At 34.9% G+C, this 22124-nt stretch overlaps 1 long non-coding RNA gene across 1 annotated transcript in view, besides 1 other annotated feature; it reads right to left on the bottom strand.

The window, feature by feature from the left end:
• The window catches only part of LINC01965 (long intergenic non-protein coding RNA 1965), a 205982-nt gene that overhangs the window by 107943 nt on the left and 75915 nt on the right, over positions 1-22124 (bottom strand). The gene's annotated exons all lie outside the window — the stretch shown is intronic.
• Positions 8298-10630: an enhancer, noted in NCBI's record as "VISTA enhancer hs1529". NCBI's record gives its function as "enhancer in: forebrain[4/4]" and the evidence as "EXISTENCE:transgenic organism evidence [ECO:0001131][PMID:17130149]".

Here is a 22124-nt window from a genome sequence, read left to right as displayed (position 1 = left end):
TGGGGTAAGATACATGGCCTCTTTCTCTTTTGCAGTAAAATGCTGGCTAGTAAATCTAGACTAGAGCAAGGTAAGAACGTTTAAATCCCTTCCTTTGGATTTTTAGCAGCTTTGGTAGAATAGTTCAAATGGCTGACTAAATTAAATTTGGGGAAAAATAGTGGATCAGTTGATTGGCAGACCTGTTTTCCATTGATACAGACAATTAAAAATTTATACAAAAAGATAAAGTTTATAATACTATGTTTCAGTTTCTGTTGTACTAACCACTAGTTGATTTTTCCTGTCTTTTTTTTTTTTTTGCTTTCATTTATAGACCATGGCCAGCAAGTATTCTGCTGTTTTGCTGTAAGTCAACAGCAACTGCAATTAGAAAGATATTACAAGTCTACAAATGGTAGTAGCATCCAAGACAAATCCTAGCCGAGCTGCAGATGGCAGCTTCTCTTCAGAAAGGCATTCTTCCTTTTCCCAATGCAGTAATTGTTGCATTTCCCGAGTGGAAGAACCTGAATTGTGGAAATAATGAAAGTTCCACCATAGTTTGAGCACATAAGAGAGAAAAATGGTTAGTAAAATTTGAAATGGTTTGAAAAATAATTGTCTGCCAAAATATAATTTGTTTCTCAGAATTAAAAAAATAAACTGCATCTATCTTTACCGTTCAAGCTCTTCCTTAGGCCTTTCCTATATCCTTGTTTGGCTTTCTGTATTTTAAATTTGATAGACTGTCCCTGAATGCGTCAAATTCACATAAAGTACAGCCAAAGCCACAAATGATAAAAAAAATCATTCAAAAGCAGGACATAACCCAAAATGAAAACAAGTTATATGAATGAGAGGGTTGCAACCTAAGTGTAATATTTGTTTCATTTGACATTTGATGAGCCAGTTCTTGGTGGGGGCTTAGTTTCATTTCCGTGGCCTCAGTCTGGGACTTTTGGAAAATGTATGTTCCAGGCTGGGCCTGGTGGCTCACACCTGTAATTGCAACACTTTGGGAGGCGGAGGCGGGTGGATCACTTGAGGTCAGGAGTTCAAGACTAGCCTGACCAATATGGTGAAACCCCATCGCTACTAAAAATACAAAAATTAACCAGGTGTGGTGGCATGTGTCTATAGTTTCAGCTTCTCAGGAGGCTGAGACATGAGAATTGCTTGAACCCTGGAGGCGGAGGTTGCAGTGAGCAGAGATCATGCCACTGCACTCCAGCCTGGGCAACAGAGTGAGAATTCGTCTCAAAAAAAAAAGTGTCCCACAAGTGAGTTTGGAACCTTGAGATCATTCTCATTCCATGGAAAGACAATATAATGAAAAGCACGTGGGGTCTACCAGATAAAACATAATAAGCCTTCACTGTGACCGTAGGTCATTTGTGTACAAGAGCATGTCAGCAGGGATCAAATGGAGCAACAGAGAGGTGGGGAGTCTCCATCTTCAGAGACAAATCTGGGCACACATTAAAAATATTTAATTTGTGTTAGGAACCTTTCCACTACTTATTCAGTACCTCAGGTGGTCACTGTCTTTATATTTCCCGCAAGTGTACTGCCCCTCAGGATAGACCGTCATCTAAGCATTAACTACCTATCAAAATCTGCCCAGCATTAAACTTAATAAATAAAAACTATTATAATGTTTGCATTCATAATGATAGCCATAAGAAATATTGACTGAGTTGTTTCTATGGAATATTCATTCTTCTGAAGGCTTCATAGCTATTTGCCTACTTATTTCTTACCATAATTTTATGAGATACATAGTTTTCTTGTACCATTTTATGGATAAGGGATAAAGCCTTCCAAGAAAAATGACAAATGAGAAAGAAAGTAATCAATAAATCAATTCACATAAAACTTTAAATGGCTGGTAACCTTCAGAAAGATATGGAATGAGAAATATCCTTGTTATCTCTGATGATTCCTAATTGACAAATTTTAACTCAATAGAAGAAACAAATTAGAAAAAAATCATGCAGTGGTTAGAGAAAAGGCATTTGAAAAAGTCAACATCCATATATGATAAAAACTTGGAGCAATAAAAAAATGCTAGAGAACCTCTTCAACTCAATAAAGAACATCTAACAAAATTGGCAGCTAATATTATAATTAATCATGAAAAACTGGGCACATTCTTCCAAGATTATGACCAAAGCAATGATGTCCTCTCTCACCACTTCTATTCAACAGTGTACTGGAAGTCCTAGTTGGCTTAATAAGATAGGAAATGAAATAAAACACATACAGATTGTGAAGGAAAAAATAATATTATGTTCATTAACAGATGACATAATCATCTCTATAGAAATTCCCAAATAATGGATTTAAAAACTTATAAAAGGAAAAGGCCTCCAAGAACTAATAAGCAAGTATAGTAAAGCGCAGGATACAAGGTTAATACACAAAAGTAAATTTTTTTCTGTATGCCAACAATGAATAGTTGGAGCTTGAACTTTTAAAAAATATTGTTTATGATAGGAAAAGAAGGAAAGGAAAGAAAGAAAGAAGAAAGAAAGAAAGGAGAGAGAGAGAGAGAAAGAAAGGAAGGAAGGCAGAAAAGCAGAGAAAGAAAGGAAGGAAAGAAGAGAAAGAAAGGAAGAAAGAGAAAGAAAGACCAACATAGGCATACATCTAACGAAACAGGTACAGGATCTATAATGCGCAAAACTACAAAATTCTGATAAAGGAAATTAAAGACCTAAATAAATTGTGATATACTGCATGTTCATGCATTGAAAAACTCAATAATATGTCAAAAATCAATAATATGGTGATACATCAGTCCTCCCCAACTTGATCTGCGGATTCAATACTGTCTCAATCAACATCCCAGCAGGCTATTTTATGGTTATCAACAAACCGATTGTACACTTTATGTAAAAAAGCCCAAAGATTTGGAACAGCCAATGTAATACTGAAGAATAACAGAGTAAGAGGACTCACAATAATCAATTTGAAGACATAATTAAAAGCTACAATAGTTAAGACAGTATGGTATTTGCAGAAAAACAGATACATAAACCAATGTGAAAGAACAGAAAGCCCAAAACGGACCCATGCAAATATTACCTGAACTTTGACAAACGAGAAAAAACATTTATTTTCATTAAATGTTGCTGAAACTTTTGGACGTTTATGGTTAAAAAAAAGAAACTAGACACAGACTTTACACTTTTCACAAAGTTAATTCAAAATGAACATATACTTAAATGGAAAATGCAAAATTATGAAACTTCTAGAAGAAAATATAGGAGAAAAATCTATGTGACCTTGGGTTTAATAGTGATATTTTACATACAACACACAAAACAAAATTCATGAAAATAAATTTGGTTTGACTACTTTATTAAAATTGAAAACCTGTATTCTGTGAAAGACAGTGTTAAAAGAATCAAGACAAGCAATCAGCTTTAAAATAATATTTTCAAAACATATATCTTATAAAGAACTTGAATGTTCTTTATGTATATATAACATACAAGGAAATGTAAGACTCAATATCTAAAATCACCAAACCAATTTTAAAAATAGGTAAGAGATCCGAGCAGACATCTTACCAAAGATATAAGATAGTAAATATACATATGTGATATGCTCAATATCAATGGTACTTAGAGAATTGCAAATAAAACAATGAAATAGCAATACACATTAAAATCGCTAAAATCCAAACACTGAAAATATCAAATGACAGCAAGGATATGGAGATCTTATTCTTTGCTGGTGGAAACGCAAAATGTATAGACACTTCAGAAGATAGTTTGGCAATTTCTTAGAAATCTAAACATAGTCTTTCCATATGATCCAGCAATTGGATTCCTAGGTATTTATCCAACTGATTTGAAAATATGTCCATACAAAAGCCTGCACATAAATGTTTATATCATCTTTATTCATAATCACCAAAAACTGGAAGCAACCAATATTTTCTTCTATAGGTGAATGAGTAAACAAAACGTAGTACATACACATAATGGAATATTTGTTATTTAGAAATAAAAGGAAATGAGCTTTCAATTCATAAAAAGATGTAGATAAATCTTAAATACACATTGCTAAGTGAAAGGAGCTAGGCTGTAAATGTTATATATTGTATATTACATGACATCTGAGAGAGACAAAACATTAGAGATGGTTAACAGATTAGTGGTTTCCAGGATGGTATGGAGAGTGACAAGAGAGTCTAATCATGTTATGAATGTGGGAAAGAATCTCCCTGAAGGCGGTGGGGAAAATGGCATTAACCTAAGTAACTTTGGAGTGAGTGAAATTTATTAGATTAAATGGAAAAGGAACTGTATGTGGTTGTTATACTCTTGTTGATAAAGTGTTTTACCCATGGACATATGGGTTAACAATTCTGATACCATTGTGCACGTATACTGGAATTGAGCAATTACGCAAGTGAATGAACAATCCTGGGAACCATGGTTTTCACTATCGGAGTAGGAAGATTCAGAAAACAAGAAAGTAATCCAGTTTGCCTATTACCACCCCAACCTTGTCCCCACCCTGCCATAGGGCAGGACATTCTAAGCTATTTCTGAAATTTATGGTTTTTTAAATCACTTTTAAAATTGTCTATTTCTAAACCTCTAAACATTCTTCTTTCCCTTATTGTAATCATCATTATGTAATAAATTAGTAATACATAAGTTTAATCCTAGCAACCACCGTGTTCTAAGCACTTGGTAAATATTATCTCACTTTGTTTTTATAACAACCCCATGAGGAAAACCGTCTTCTAATTCTCAAGATGACAATAATGAGGATTAGCAATCAGAATCTGACCACCGTATCACAGCTAACTTAGTCATTCCTGAAGCTGACAACTATTTTTGAGCAACTGCCAGATGCCAGTCCTTGTGGAGTCACCAGGTGTATGGTGATGAGCACATTTTCAGGGACCATGTTCCAAGAAAACCTACAGTCTCTATTGAATAACAAATGCTATGCAAGGAAACATACTTATGTGCAAATTAAGTGTCAATTTATAAAGGAAATGAACCAAGGGAGAGTATTTATTAGTTACATTGACAAAGTAGGCTCTTTAAGGAACTCACATGTAAATGGGGGTACAAAGGATATTAAAATCTCATAGGCCATGAGAGTGGAGGGAGATATGAAAATATGTTCCTAGCAGAGAAAACAGACTATGTGACGATGCCAAGACAAAATCTCTCTTGTTATTGTAGAAACTACTAAGAATTACTATCTGGAAGAGCAGGTTTACTATGATAGGATTATCACACTCCATAGTTCTTGCTTTCACTCAAACTGGAACACTACAGAATCTCTTCTATAAACATTTTCTCCTAAATATAAAAGGTGCTTACTGTGGAAAATCAACAAAAGTCAGAAAACATTAGAAGAAAGCAACAATAATCAGTAATCCCATTTTATACAAAAGCCAAATATTTTAGTTTCCAGTCTTCTAGTAGTTTTTCTCTATCTGTGTTTTTTGCTTACAAAACATTGAGACAAAACTATATACTTAAAAAATAATAGGCCGGGTGCAGAGGCTCATGCCTGTGATCCCAGCACTTTGGGATGCTGAGGCAGGTGGATCACGATGTCAAGAGATCGAGACTATCCTGGCCAACATGGTGAAACTCCTTCTCTACTAAAAATACAAAAATTAGCTGGGCGTGGTGGCACATGACTGTAGTCTCAGCTACTTTGGAGGCTGAGGCAGGAGAATTGCTTGAACCTGGGAGGTGGAGGTTGCAGTGAGCTGAGATTGTGCCACTGCACTCCATCCTGGTGACAGAGCAAGACTCTCTCTCTCTCAAAAATAATAATAATAATAATAATAATAATAATAATAATAATAATAATAGATATTTAGGAGTATCAATTCATTATAATAATTTTCCATGTTTTAAATACTGTGCAGTGACATTGTTTAAATGCTACAACTTGCAAGCCAACTTACAAGTATGCTATACTTTAAAAAAATACCTTCTTGCTGGTAATTTGTATGGTTTTCTTAATTTTATGTTATTACATAAATTTTGGGTGAATATTTATAAATAATATTTTGTTTCTATTTCTAGTAAATTTCTCAGAATAAATTATTAAAAGTGGAAATACTCTGCCGAGCAGAATAAGCATTTTTAAGACTGCTGATATGTATTGCTGAGTTGCCCTACCAAAGGCTTTTTATTAATTAACATTTACATCAGAACTATATGACAAGCCTTGCTTCCTTATACTCTAGGCCACCTGAAACAGTTTTAAAGTTCTTGTATTACTTTTTTTTTTTTTGGATAGGCAAAATGTAGATATTGTAGCTTTATTTTGCATGCCCTTTGACTTCTTCATTTGTGAATTGTTATTCATATTCTGTGACCCTACTCCTATGGGAAATAAATTAATCAATTATTCCAGTGGTAGTTATTAACTCTTTCTGTCTATGTTAATTTAAACTATGACTAAGTTGAATACATTCATTCATCATGTTTCTGAACTTTCTCTTGCACTTATTTATCTTTGTTCTACTTCCTCTACTACCACACTGTTTAACTTATTGTAGCTTTATAACATACTTTAGTAGCTGATACTGCTAAACCCTCATATAATTCTTCTATTTCAAACTTTTATTTGCTTTTTTATCTTAATTTACTTTTTGAAATTTTTTGGTTAATCTTAAAATAATCCACTATTTTTGTTGTTATTGAAATTTTATTGTACTTATATATTTAACTTAGAAATAATTGTATTTGTAAGTTTAATTTTGTACACTTTCAATTTTATACAAGATTTTTTGATTGACACCTCCATGTTTTCAAGACTTCTTGATGTCCTGACAATATTTTTAGTGTTCTTCCTTTAAGACTTAATTATTTGTTACTAAATGTGCTTGTGAATGAATGTGATTTTCCCTTCCCCAAAGCTGTACATGTTTTTATCACTAGTTCTATAAATCAGTTTTTTGATTTTGTATATTTAGTGTCAACTCCATCTCAGTAAAAATATTAACTGATTGTACAGTTTCTACTTGATTTACTTAAGCACTCTTGGTAATATCTATTAAATACAGATAATCAAAAAATTTTATTTCTCTCTTTTATTATATAGAACACTTATTTACTTTTATTGAGTTATTGCATTGTCTATAGGTTACCCCAAAAATTTAAATAACAATTGTAGGCACCTATGCCTTGCTTCTTTCTTTGTCAACAAAAACAATAAGACTTGACATTTATCACACACTTATTTTGTGCCCAGCACTGCCCTGAGCCCCTCTTTCTTTAGTCTTGATATATTGGAAACTACTTTTTTATTTTATTTATTTTTTATTTTTTTAAATTTATTTTTATTTATTTATTAATTTTTTTTGAGACAGAATCTCGCTCTGTCGCCAGGCTGGAGTACAGTGGTGCTATCTCGGCTCACTGCAGCCTCCACCTCCCAGATTCAAGTGATTCTCCTGCCTCAACCTCCCAAGTAGCTGAGACTACAGGCATGTGCGACCATGCCCGGCTAATCTTTGTATTTTTAGTAGAGATGGGGTTTCACCATGTTAGCCAGGATGGTCTCAATCTCTTGACCTTGCGATCCACCCGCCTAAGCCTCCAAAGTGTTAGGATTGCAGGCGTGAGCCACCACGTCCGGCTGCAACTACTTTTATTTCCATCTTTATGAAAGAGACACTAAGGCACAGAGAAGTTTAGTAAATTGCTCAAGTTCATGTGGAGAGTTAGTGATAGAGTTAGAAACATGATTCCAGAAAGTTAGATTCTAGAGTTCAGATCCTTCCCAGTGGATCTTCCCTGTCGTGGTCAAAGGAGTGATGCTGAGTAATAGGGAAAAAAAAAAAAAAAAAAAAAAAAAAAAAAAAGAGTATGTAGTGAAAGAAAAGGGTGTGAAAAACATATATTTTGTGTCTCTAACCCCAGAATTTTCTTTATAGAGTTTCATTAGTCATAAAGCTCTATTCTCCTGAGATACAACTTCGTAAGAACAATTCTGTTTTCAGGTAACATCTTCCCACTTAGCTATTTAAAACACTTAGAAATGTCATTTTAATACTACAGTGTATGGAAAAAATAGTATATTCGCCTCTTCCTTCCAGTATTCTAATTTGCAATGGTCACAGATTTTGATCCCATGAAAAGCATTTTAGCTTGTGACCTGCCAAGTGAAGCCATAGGTGGAAACTGAAAAATGGAGAAGAGAAAGGTGTAAGTTCAAAGGGGCCACACCAGTCTTTGGCCAAAACCTGCAGACTCTTTCAATCACTTTTGAATAAACTCCCCATCCTCTTGGATTTATGACTCGCTGGACTTCTCACAAAGGGCCAATGGAAAGAACTGAGTGAATAATGATGATGATTAATTATGCACAGTGATTCATTTCACTCTATACCTAGGATCATGAAACTTGGGTCCACTTTAATAGGAACTTTATGCCCAGGAATCAAATAGTCCACATGAAGTCTGGGAATGTTTCTTTCTATCTGAGTAAGAAGTTAGCATATGCAATATCATTAGGGAGACAGATCTAAGGGAGGAAAAAAAAAGGTCTGAATATGTAACCAAAAAGTATTGGTATAACCTTAATGTTTTAGTGTGTTTAGCTTGCACACTGTCAATATATTCTAATTAATGGAAGTGGAGAGAGAGAGCATGGAAAGACAATTACATTGAGAGAGGTGTGGAGAGAAAGAGAAAAACCCCTTTGCTCCCTCTGGTTACTGAAAAAAAAAAAAAAAAAAGCTTCCAAGCTGATCGCCATCACTCTATCATTCAAAAGTGTTACATTAATCATTAACTTTGGTTGCAGTTTCTCTGGGACTCCAAGTTAGCCTTCCAAACCACGTCCCAGAAGTCCTAACTGGAGGACCTTTATACATTTCCCTCCCCTGCCGGTTTTTTTGCTGCACTTATTCCAATAAGCATGCTCAAAAGCATGGTCGCTAAATACTGATTTGCCCATTCAGTAATTCTTAGAGCTGTCCAGGCCTTTGAGACAGCTGTCCCCTCCCAGCTTGAGAATGAGGCCCTCTGGAAGAAGCAGGGAGGGAGACTGGCTTATTAGACAGAAATTGACAGACATAGAATGAAGGGCATGAGGGACCCCTCAGAAACTCATGTGGACCATTGTGGAAGGATTAGCGGAGGAGAACACACTTCAGGAGGCCTGTGGGCCTATCTCCACAAAAAGCAGAGAACAGGAGGGCCGTGGGAGGTGGGGTGAAGAGAAGTCCACACTTTTAGTTAATATATTTTATTAGACCTGATTTGGCATTCAGAGTCTTTTCTCAATATTTTGTGTCTATTTCCGTTCAACTCTTTAATATTTATCCCATTCAGGGCATTATATACTCTATGATGAGTTGGCATGGGGAATGTTCAATCTGCAGTAATCTGTATGCATTTATATTGCGAGCTGCTCCCTAATTGGTTTTCATCCAAGTAATCCCACAGAGAATAAGGTTACGTGCTGAAAAGGGCTGAGGTGAGAGAGTGGGTAAAAGGGGACTGGGAACTCTTTTCCTGGCCTTATTAGAATGCTGTGAGCATCTGCATTAAGGAGAAAAAGATGTCCATATTTCTTGGGTTCTCCTACGTCATGAATAAGCATATAGTACACCCCATAGCACACCTAATAAGCCAGAGAGACAAAATAATTTGGGGGCAACTCCACCCATTTGTAGATGATACAACGGCTGGTATAACATAGATAGAATATTAGGTTCAAAAGAGGACACATAAACATAAGTAATTGGAAAATTAATTACAATTGAGAAAAAAATCAGCATTTTGTCATAGTTCCATAAGCCTGTAATTTTGGAAGGCATAAGCTTCAAGCAGGCATTTTCATACGTGTTTAAAAACAAGGGCAACTAAAATTAACCATACTTCTGATTGTGTCTTTTTATTATTGTTTTTATCTTCCATGAGTCTCACAGATATTTTTATTCATCTTCAGCAACACATCTAGTGTGGGAGGGCATGTAGTGCACATGTGTGTATTTGTCTGAGTATGGTCAGTCCCACTGTAAATGGGAATGAAGCTTTGTAAGACTGTGAATATGTTTCACTAATATGATTTCGAGGTGAAAATATTGAGACATTACCTTAAAGTTTTAAAATATGTGATGAGAATTTACCTCTCTGAAAGAAATATTACATTTTGATTTGTATAAATATTGCAATTGTCTTTACTCCCTGAAAATAGTGTCCATTTTTCACTTGCTATCCTTAGCTGGGCTGGTGCCTTGATTAGGATAATTTGTTTCGAGTGCACTACGGTATAGATAACAGATTGCATAAGAAGACTGGCGCTTCTATATTTTCTACTATAAAATGAGAATACCATGCTTGGTCATCATGCTTGTTTTAAAAGTAATTATCGTTTTCCAAGTCCAATTCACTCTCAGAAAAGGAATCCAGAATTAGTCTTTCTAAAACAGAAAAAGAGACAGTGGTGTAATTGTTCTTCCTCCTGGGAAATATGCTTTTCCTTAACTACATAAAGCAACACAAAAACTTCTATAAATAATTACAGTAACAACATGTTATGCCAAGTAAATAAAAAAAACACGCTGTATATTTAGAATTAAGGAATGTTAAAACAACACTTTTAAAAACTCTGCATCAGAACACAAAATGAAACCACCCAAAGAAGTTGTAGTAATGTAAGTAGGTGTAACTCTTTGTGAAATCTCACTTTGAATTATCTTATTCTCTTGCTTATATGTCAAGTGACTAATTTTATAAATGCTTAAATAGAAAAGTCATATTAAAAAAAGAAAGAATATTTTTCTACCAAGAATCTCATAGGCTCAAAGGCCGTTTAACTTAGCTCAGTCATCTAGTTTATTTTGCATTAGAGGAACTTCTCATTTAATTTACCAGTCCATAATAGGTAACTTTTTCAATATGGAGCTAAAGGTCACTATTATATGTAAGGAAAATTAAGCCGATGTTCTTGGTTGCCTTACAGTTCTCCTAGTTCAACTACTCCAATAAATGAACATGTACAACAAGCCGAAGGGCTTTTTATTACAAATTTAATTCATTTCTCTAGACAACTGTGAAATTTGCCATTGACATTAGTCATTACCCCAAGGCGAACTAAAAGATGATCTCAGTTAATAAATGATCCTTAACAAGGAACGCTCCTATCTCCTGTGATATTGGCACAGGCACATTTTATTAATGCAGGGCTTGCTTCCTGCCAGAACACCAGCATTCACGACTATTTGGTGTGCTTGTTTCCTCTTCCTGCTCCTGATATTAATAATTATGCAACGGGATAATTAGCAACACAAAGAGACAGTACTATGAGCTTGAAGCTAGATTTTCAGCACGTTAACCTTCTGGGAAATAAGAACAGAAGCAAAGAGTCTAGCCAAATAACCAATGCAGGTTGATTTCACAGTGTGTAAAAGGCTAATTATCTGTGAAAAGTCTGACCTCAAGTAACAAAATTACAGAAATGTGCAGGCATTTTATTTTAAATAAAACTCAGAGACACTGCTTCCGATTCTAAAGAAATCTGATTAGCAAATGTATGAAAGAAGAGATTTGAAACTTCAACAAAAATAAGCTCTGAAGGAAATTGATAATATCTGGAAATAAATGTTAACGATCAACTCAGACACCTGAGAATGTACAGTAAAAAATAAACTTTTACTTTCTTTCCCTATCCCCAACACACACACACATTACAATGAAGAAAAAAAAAAAGGAAAAAAAAAGATAAAACAACACGCACACACTCAGTGTGTGACAGAAGTAGGTTAAGTGTATTTTGTTTACTGGAGACAGGCTACAATAAAAAGCAGAAAATATTACTACTTCTTTACAGATACCATATGTAATTCATTCTGATATAGGAATATTTATCCACTAGCAGTAATAACAAACCACAATTTTTGCCATGAAAAAAATAAATTGTATTTGCAAAAAGCAAACACATTACAGAGTGTGTAAAAATGCAATATTCCCATTTTCTAGTCAGAGTTCCAATTTATTGAAGTAACAGAGCAGAAAATGCACTGACAGCTGTTACATTTTATTGCGAATTAGTATATACATTTTATATCCAGTGAGCAAATGCATGATACATTGTATTCCAGTAATTGCCACTGGCTTTCCAAATGGAAACTGAATGATCTTAGTGCAATTACACTCAGGAGAGTACATAGAACAACCTCTAGTTCTACATTATAGTGCTTTAACAATACTAATATTAAGTATATTTTATTTTTTTAAATGAAAGATTAAAAAGGTCAAGTTGGATTTTAAAAATCAACAAAAATAATGCTCACATGGTATATATGCTACCTCATAAATCCTGGATGACTATTTTTTATTTAAGTTACCCGCATTAGGATATTGTACTTTGGAATGATCAGGAAGGTTAAATAAAGTTTCTCTCCTCTGCCCCCTCTCTCTTTGTTTACTATATCAATATTTTACTATCTGTGATGTCTCTTTCTCTATTCCCCTTTTAGCAATGGAGTGAAGGGATTTAAAGTGATGGGAAGAGGGGGCAGGTGTTAGAATACTTTAGAAAATGAGCTATACGCTGAGTTTCCACTTTACCCTGAACAGCCAAATCATCTTTGATTCCCTCCCTCATCCTTCCCCTATAGCTACTTTTCCTAACTTGTATGTGCATTAGCTATAGGCCTAAGGAGAGAGCCATTTATTTTCATAAGGGTTAACTCTGATTTCATAGATCATCTTGCTAATGCTTAAGACTACGGGTTAACAGGTAACCACATTCTAGCATTCTAACTACCTTCCCAGTCATTTCAAATTTATTAGAAGCAAATTTCTTGCATACTTTAAGAAGCCTATTTTTTTTTCCATTTTTGGGGACCTTTATAATATACTTAAACCCTTTTGCTTGGCATCTCGTCCTCTGACAGCTTCCCCACCATCAGTTTCTGTGGTGAGGCCTTCAATAAATCCGGCTGTCTCCTCCCCTCTAGTGGTTACCAGCCCGCCTTGCAGCACAGGGAATGCCGAGATCTTCAGAGGACCCACAGAGGGACATTTGTGTAATTCTTTTGGCTTAGAGAGAAAAGGGGGAAAAAAAATAAGCCAACCCAGTCATCATTGCAGAAAATAAAATTTATCAAGCATTTAAAACAATATGCTAGCGACGGCTACATCTTAATCAACACCAACCTGCTGACATAGAATTGCAATTTGAGCTAGTTATTAATGATTGAATTAACAGCATGTCACAACTTGTATCTGGTTTAATAAAAGAAACCAACTAATGCAACAAAATCATAAACAACATGTAGTAGGGCATTCCCCCCGCCTCCTCTGGCCGCCGCTACCAGGATGGAATTGAAAGTCCATGTAGCTAGAATAAGGAAGATGAGGGGCCACTCCATTTGCACCTTGAAGGGCTGTCCCAAAATAATCCTGGACTTCCTTCCATAGGACTCAGTGCATGGTCAGCACAGTGGCCCGTCTATAGGAATACCAGCAAAAACAGCAGCAGCCACGGCAACAACAGCGCCGACAACACTAATGACGTCTCACCCAGATGTCAGAAACAATGGTGTCACAAATAAACCTAGTTGTGAAGCCCTTTGCCACACCACTGCACCTTAAAAATACATCAGCTTACCCTCATCCCCTTACAACAGCTTCTAACCCCAAATAACCCCAAATGTGTTCAGGAACTTATCTGAAAGAAACTGTATTGAGCATAATACTGAAATCAAAAGCATATGCCTTCTTGTTTTTCTATAAAAATATTAATACTATGGGTTTGAGTTTTAAATGGTTAAAATATAAGTTAAAGAATTTTGCTACATCCAATGTAACATACAAATAAACTTTGCTATTGAGAAGTGCATTGATCTAGTTTATAATCAAAGAAATATTAAGGTTCAATTCTGGATATAAATCATGGCTAAATGTACTGAAGTTTCTTAATGTATTATGAGGAATGACTAATGTGGACCAAGTCTTACCTATAATTGTTAGGATTTACCATTCCACACTATTCATTGAATTCTTTGGTAAAGGGAAGATGTAAATGCACGTATGACTTACCTATTCTGAACAGCTTAGTTTCTCTCTTTTTAAAGGACAGGCTTTTTTGAGAATTAGTTTAAGTTAATGTTTAAGGAAATGAAGAGAAACTCACTCTTACCCACATGGGTATCATTCTTATCATTGTTGTTTAAAATGTATAGAGTGATTTTTCTTAAAGAATATTTAAAAGTTTTTAAATTAAAAAATGGTATTGGTGTTGATTACCAATAAATTGATAGAATCAAGTGTTTTTTCAACAATATGCAAATATACAAATAAGGTAAAATTTTTTGTCTCCAAGTTAATCAGAATCCTAATACTAAATCTTCAATTGTCTATATGCAGCTAACTAGGGGAAAATCAAGTACACTTATCTTCTGTTTCACTGAAAGGGGTCCTGCAGGGGCTGATCTGATCTCAGTAGAGACTGAAATAAGGTAGTTCCTTGGGGATTGCATTAGATCTGAGTGAATGTGTGGAGTTGAAGCTTGGGGGAAATAAAATAAATCAGATATGGAAAGATGTACATGATCTGTCACAATAGACTTTTTCTTCTTTTTATGTAAAATCAATGAGAAATCTGAGTGATGATAATTTCCTTTCTAACACATGCAGTAGAATAGTCATTTTGCCTTATTTTATTCTGGTTTGGTGGGTTTTTATTACCTCAACCCAATGGCTCATACAATCCTGGAATAAAGATGAGGAAACAGTGGCTCAGGGAACTGGGTGATCTGCCTAAAGCTCAGAATCCAGACTATACTCTATTGTTCTTTTCTGATACAAGAAGAATTTTGTATTTCTGTAAGGCATTATATATGACAGTTATTTCAGTGGATTTTTCATTGTAGGATTTCTTTAACATCCAATATGCCTTCTCATAGTAGTAGACTATTAGTAATTGATGTACAAACAAGAAACAAACGGATTTTAATATTTTCTTTAGCAAAACAAAATAGGATTTTCTAAAATTTTGAAACAATTATCCTAAATTTCAAACAAGAAAAAGTAATTTGTATTATGTACAGATTCAGGTAAACTACATTATTTCTTTCTATTATCATTTATCAACAGAAGCTGATTGTAAATACCACTATATTGGATTCATTTTTAAGGGTAAAATATTTTAATTAACTCATTCTTCCTCACTTTCTCCATCTGCGCAATAAAATTGCACTGTGAAATTTTTCTATCACTTTTTTAAATAATATCAGAGAGGAAATGTTCCAGGTATCATAAAAGCATACATTTGGGAAAATTAATGAATTAGCTAGATCATCTCTTGTCACACCTTAATTCAAAGTTGTCTAACCCAAAGCAATATAGAGAGTGGCCACTTTATCCTTTTTGGTAGTAGATTGAGCCTTTTCAGAAGTAAACAATAGGTCCTCAACTTTAGCTTGAGAGTTTATCAGGAAACATGATTAAATGTGTTATGCACTTTGGTATCCCACTTTTGTCTCAAATTTATTTGTTCAACTAATACTTATTTAGTGTCAGGTAATGGCACTTGTAACTGGAGATGTACCGATGAACAACAAAGTCATTGTTCACGTGGAGGTTACAATTTAGAGGGGAAGATATATGTGAATGAAATAATTATACAACCAGAAATAGAATTGCGCTTTTAAAAGTGTTACACTGGGCCAAATAGAATCAGGCTACGAGATCTTATAAAGGCGAATAGGTTGACACCTGGTGTCAGACTCAGTGAAGGATAATGGAATGAAGTAATGGGATCCTGAAGGTGAGAAAGAATGTAGGGAAGGATGTGTTTATTACATTTGAGTGGCAAGGAAGTTACAGGAAGAGCACTTTAGGCAGGGGAGAAATGCAGCATCGCACAGGTAAAGGTAGTGCAGTGGGAAAGCCTCCGAGGACGGGAGGAAGACGAATGGGGTGGGATTAGGGTACAGTGAGGGCGAGCAGAGTGGAAGGCAACCCCAGGTTGCCAGCTCCCCCCAGGGGAGGCCAGCTGTGTCCTGGGAGCCCTTTCTTCTTCAATATACTGTTATTAAGTGCAAAGAAAGATGGAAAGCTCTTAAAGGGCTTTTTAGGTGGGGTATCAAGCCGCTCCACTAAGATGGGAAGAATAATTTTAAAAAGCAAAGGTGGATACAAGGAAACCTTTGGATTGCCAAAACATAAGCACAAATCCTCCGAATTCCTGCTAAGCATTGACTGGTAGCTTATATAGAATATTTCTCTATTTTTCTGAACTGGTTTCTGTTGATATTTTAAAGTGAGAATTTACAGAGAATGTTTGTATGTGTTTGATCTTCATAACAACCCTATGAGGAGGTCAGGTTGGATACGAATATTCCCTACAAAACAGAAAAATTATGGAGTAACTGAGATTCGACCCACTATTTCAAACTCTTATAACTCTCCACCATTTAATAACATTCATAAAGTTGACATTTAATTAGTATGAATTTCAAATAAAAGACGCATCAGGAGATTGCTTTCTTATAAAATAGATTTTCTCTTTATTTTGATAGATTTATTAGTTTACCATCTCCACATTCATACCAACCCCTTGTAAAGGGGTTAATAAGAGAATGTTTATTAAAGATATTTCTTTTCTTTTCTTTTTTTTTGAGATGGAGTCTCGCTCTGTTGTCAGGCTGGAGTGCAGTGGCGCGATGTTGGCTCACTGCATGCAACCTCCATTTCCTGGGTTCAAGCGATTCTCCTGCCTCAGCCTCCCGAATAGCTGGGACAACAGACGCACTCCACCACACCCGTCTAATTTTATTTTTAGTAGAGACGGGGTTTCACCGTGTTGGCTAGGATGATCTCGATCTCCTGGCCTCGTGCTCTGCCTGCCTCGGCCTCCCAAAGTGCTGGGATTACAAGCTTGAGCCATTGCACCCATCCTATTAAAGATTTTTCAAAGCTTTATTGGAAAAGTCTACATGTGTATAAAGCTTCCATTTTCAACATCACTGTGTGGTTTAGGGAGACATTTAAACTTGAATAATCTCACTTCAAAAGATTAGGAACATATCATTTTTCTAATGCAAATAATAATAATAGTAATTCACTATTCAGATAGTAATCCTGGTTCAGATTAGAGAGAAAGGGAACCCTAAAATCATTGTCTTCACACATACATTTTGAAATTTTATATAAACAATATATCCTATGTATGCATCAACATATGTTTACCTTTTTTAGTATTTTAATGCCTATAGGATAAAAATACTGGAATAATGGGATGCTGTAAAACTCAAAGAAATAGTTCAAGTCACATAAATATTGTTGGCTAAGTGTTGTGCTGTTTTCAAAAAAAAAAGTCGTTTTACTTTCATTTAGTCACTCTGGAATGAAAACCTAGAAATTACACAGTTCAGTGTTTGAGTTAGAAAGAGATATAGAAAGATGAGAAAGACTCAATCCTTTACAAAAGGAGCTTAAAAAGTATTTTATATTTAAAAGTAGGAGTTTTATCTGTTAGAAATATACTTTAAACAAAAGCATTGTCCAAATTTTTCTCAAGTTTTTAAAATTTTTACTTGACAAATAACAGTTGTGTATTTTATGGGGTACAATGTGATATTTTGACCTATGTATACATCGTAGAAAGATTCAATGAAGCCAATTAACATCTTCATCACTTCACAAACTTATCATTGTTTTGTGGCGAGAACATTAATAATATATTCTTTTAGTAATTTTGAAAAGTACAGTACATTACTATTAATTGTGGTCACCATGCAGTGCAATTGTTCACTAAAAATTAGTCCTCCAGTCTAACTGAAACTTTTTACCCTTTGGTCAACATTTTCCTTTTCCCCACCCCACCTCACCTCTTCCTTCCCAGCCTCTGGTAGCCACATTTCTACTCCCTGTTTCTATGAGATCAGCTTTTTTAGACTCCATATATAAGTGACATCATACAGTATTTGTCTTTTTGTGCCTGCCTTATTTCACTTAGAATAGCCAAAATGTTTGACTTAAGCTAAGAACAAATAAAATTCTGTCTTCCTGGTGTTCTTGAGACAGTTATAAAATTTTCCAAAAACACTGAGCATATTTTTATAACGATTATGCAATTGTATATACAAATAAGTTTTTACTAAGCAAATCCTTTGTAATTTTTTGAGATACCATGAGTAGCATAAACTCATACATCTTTAGTGAGTTTCCTGCCTCTCACCCCAAATTATCAAAAGGCCAACACTATGAATGTTTGGCTTCCCAGTGTTACAAAGGTCATTGAATATTAACTGCTACTATAAATAGAGATGGGTGAACATCTTGGTTTGATTTTGTATTTCCTCAAATTTTATGAGCACTTTATATTTCAGCCTCCCCTTTCTCATTCTTTCCAACTTCCCACTACATATTATTTTCGTTCACATACTAACAAAATAACAATATTTAAATATGTGACATTTTGTACAAACAACAAATCACTGATACCATAGCAAAAACATACAAAAATCCAACATTGATAGTCTTTCATAAACCACAGGAATACCACATGGTCCCACATTTAACAAAAAAAAAAGAACAAAATTGGTTAATAGTTTTTCACTAGAATTCAACTTCTGCTCATTCTTTTTTTTTTTTTTTGATTTATTAATTCTCTTAAGATTTACCTCGTTCGTTCAGTCAATGTCTATCAGTAAGTGTTTACAATGTGATAGGCACTGTAGTATCATTGGGGATTACCAGGATGGTTATGAGTTTATCTCCCAGGACATATATTCTGGTGCAGGAAGACAAATTGATAAACACATAATTTAGTACATAATAGGGTTATAATACAGTTATATACAAAGCAGGATGGGAGTATTCAAAAAGAACTTTCTATGGCTTGGAGAGATTGATGATCTTGAAAGATGGGCAGACATTCTCTATTAGGGGATTAAAATACGGAGGCAACAAGCAAGGGCTATCAGGTATGTGGAAAACCAGGAATGAAAACATAAAGTCCCAGGGGACATTGCATGTTTAGGGAAAGGGTAGGTGTTTCATCAAACTGGTGCACAGGGCATGTAGGACGGTCTGATGGTTTCAAGAAACAGTAGACAACTACAAAATGTTTCTGTCCCAGGGAAAGATTTTTCAATACTTTTCTTTTTTGTCAACTATACTTTGTTTTAAGCTAAGCATATTAAGATTTCATCAAGTTACTTTGCCTGTAAGACTCTGGAAAAGTTGAGACCTCACACAAAGATATTCATCTTAGAAGTTCACAAAGAGCCAACATGAATAAAGATAAATAAAATATTTCATAAAGAAAGTGGTAGGCATGGACAGAATGAGAATGGCATATTAATGTAGCAAAATTATGTCCATGGGCATTAAAAGGCCATCAAACATTTTTAAAAGGTTTTACTTTGAAACAATGTCAAACATACAGTAAAATTTCAAGTACAGTGCAAGGAACATTATTTTTCTCTGAATCTTTTAAGGGTAAGATGCTGACTTGATGCCTCATTACCAACGAATATTTTAGTGCATATTCACTATAAATAAGGACATTCTTCTGCCTAACTATAATATTGTCGTCAACATCAGGAAAGTAACATTGATATGATATTAGTATTTAATTGGTAGGCCCCATTCAAGTTTTGCCGGTGGTCCCCAAAATGTTTCTTTTAACAAAGGGCTCGAGTCCAAAAACGTGTGCTGCATTCAGTTGTCATGCTTTTCAGTTTTGTTCAGTGTGGAATATTTTCTCACCCTTTCCTTGATTATCATGAAATTGACACAATCACACATGTTGGGCCAGTTATTTTGTAGAATGTCCTCAACTTGCCTTTGTCTAATGTTTCTTCAGGTTTAGATCCAGGTTGTACAACTTTGGCAGAAGAGATCAAGTGTCCTTTTTGTTGCATCCAATCAGGTGGCACCCAATTTCAATTTGTTCCCATAATACTGATGTTGTCTTTTATCACCTGATTAAGGTGGTTTCTCCCAGATGTCTTCAATGCAGAATAACTCTTTTTCCCAATGTAATTTAATAAGTATTTTGTTGGAAGATATTTGGATACCATATAAACATCTCCTTATTGAAATGTCTATCTGTTTATATCCAGATGGCCTAATCAATTCCTAATTTAATCAAAGGATTATAACCTATTATGATCATTATTTATTTTGATAATCAAATTGCACCCTATTTGACCAGCAACAGGCTTTTCAAAAGGGTTTTTATCTTGTGAATTTGACAAGTCACAATCATCTTTGGGACACTGCTTTGCTTAGGGACACAGTAAGATGTTCCAAGTTAATGTTTCACCTGTTCTGCCTCAGCACTCGATGTAGTCATTTCCCCAAGGAGCCCTGGCCAGTAGCATCATATTTAGAAGTCAATACCTAGGTGCTAGGAGAGTTACCCCTATATATTAGGGTGACACTCTTAACATAAGATATTAGGAGTGTCACCCCATTAACACTGGGGTGACTCTTCTTCCAGGTCTTGCCACTGGATAGAAATACATGTATAGACATAAACACGTGTATATCTATATCTATACATCTAAATCTATTTGTTTATATCAAAAATAATGAATTAATATTGATATCTCTATCAATTCAACATTCTAGGATACATTTTAGTTTTCACTCTTATATGTACCTCCCTTTTCAAACAGTGAAGAACCTGCTTCTCTTGTCCAAAATACACTTAAATAATCTCTCCCCCATATCCAACTCATTCATTGACACCATCCCTGTGCCTCAACTTTCCCTGCTCTGCCATCCCCACCTGGTTTACTGCCAGCACCTGTTACTTATCACATGGTTGTTCTTCCTATGCTGCTCATGTTTAAACAACCATTTTCATCATCCACATTTTTAAACACAGTCAAATTTGTGTTTTGGATGGATAAGTGTGACAACAGTGTCGCTAAAGTGAGGGAAGCAGAGATTGCCATCTGCCAGTCCCAGGGAAATATTTAATGCAAATATTAAAGCAAGAAGTGATGAGGAAAATGAGGGGGGAATAGACTCAAGATACATATCTCTGATAAAATACCCTGAAGAGAGGTGAGAGGAAATGGTTGATGAAAATACTAAGGCTTATACTTTGAGGGTAATTAAATTTTCCAAAATTGTGAATACAGGACAGAGACAAGGTTATTTATTTCTTGTTTGTCTTGTACAATTTTGTTTGATGTCATTTTAGGGTTGAGAAAGAAGATAATTTCAGATTTAGAAATGACATTTATTAGATGTTGGCAAGAACATTTTTTCAGTTGAAGTGGTCGGGTAGAACCCTGGTTGTGTTGAGTTGAGGAATGAGTGAGGTTTAGATATCTTGTAATGACAAAATAAAACAAAGGATGTCTTGCTTTTGTTTTTATAAACATTATTTTCATGATGTATTTATTGATTTCAAGTCTCTAATTTCTTTTCTCTTCTCTTAGATGAAGACAACTGTAGAATCTATTCTCTACCTAAATGAAATATTGTTTTTGTTCTCCCTCAGTCTATTCCACCTTTGCTCACCATTTCTCCCTTAGGCAAGTAGGTAAGGAGATAAATAACCAGGCTTAGATGGTGAACAACAAATAGAAAGGGAAAGGAGAGAATGATGACAGCCATTCTACTTATAGTCTTTCTTCCAGAGTCCTGAATGTTTGAATTGTATTAGTGCCCTGTTGCCACCATAACAAATTACTGTGGACTCAGTGGCTTAAAACACTTTAAATATATTATCTTACTGTTCTGGAGAACAGAAGTCTGAAATGGGTCTTATGGGCTAAAATCATGGGTTTAGGGAGCTTCATTCATTGTGGAATCTCTAGAGACCATTCTATTTCCTTGCCTTTTCCAGTTCTATAAGCCATTCACATTCCTTGGCTAGTGACCCCTTCCTCCATTACAAAGTGTATCACTCCAGCTTCTGCTCCCTTTGCCACTTCTCTTCTCTTTATGGCTTTGGCCCTTACACAGTGCTCTTATTAGGATCCTTGTGATCACATTGGGTCAATTTGAATAATCTGGGATAACCTCTTCATCTCAAGATTTTTAACTGAATCACGTGGGAGAAGTCTTTTTTTCTGTTTTTTTTTTTTCTTTATTTTATTGTATTATTATTATACTTTAAGTTTTAGGGTACATGTGCACAATATGCAGGTTAGTTAC

The sequence above is a fragment of the Homo sapiens genome, chromosome 2 (assembly GCF_000001405.40).
Source record: "Homo sapiens chromosome 2, GRCh38.p14 Primary Assembly".
Classification (NCBI taxonomy): Eukaryota; Metazoa; Chordata; class Mammalia; order Primates; family Hominidae; genus Homo; species Homo sapiens.
This window is presented reverse-complemented; position numbering and strand designations above follow the sequence as displayed.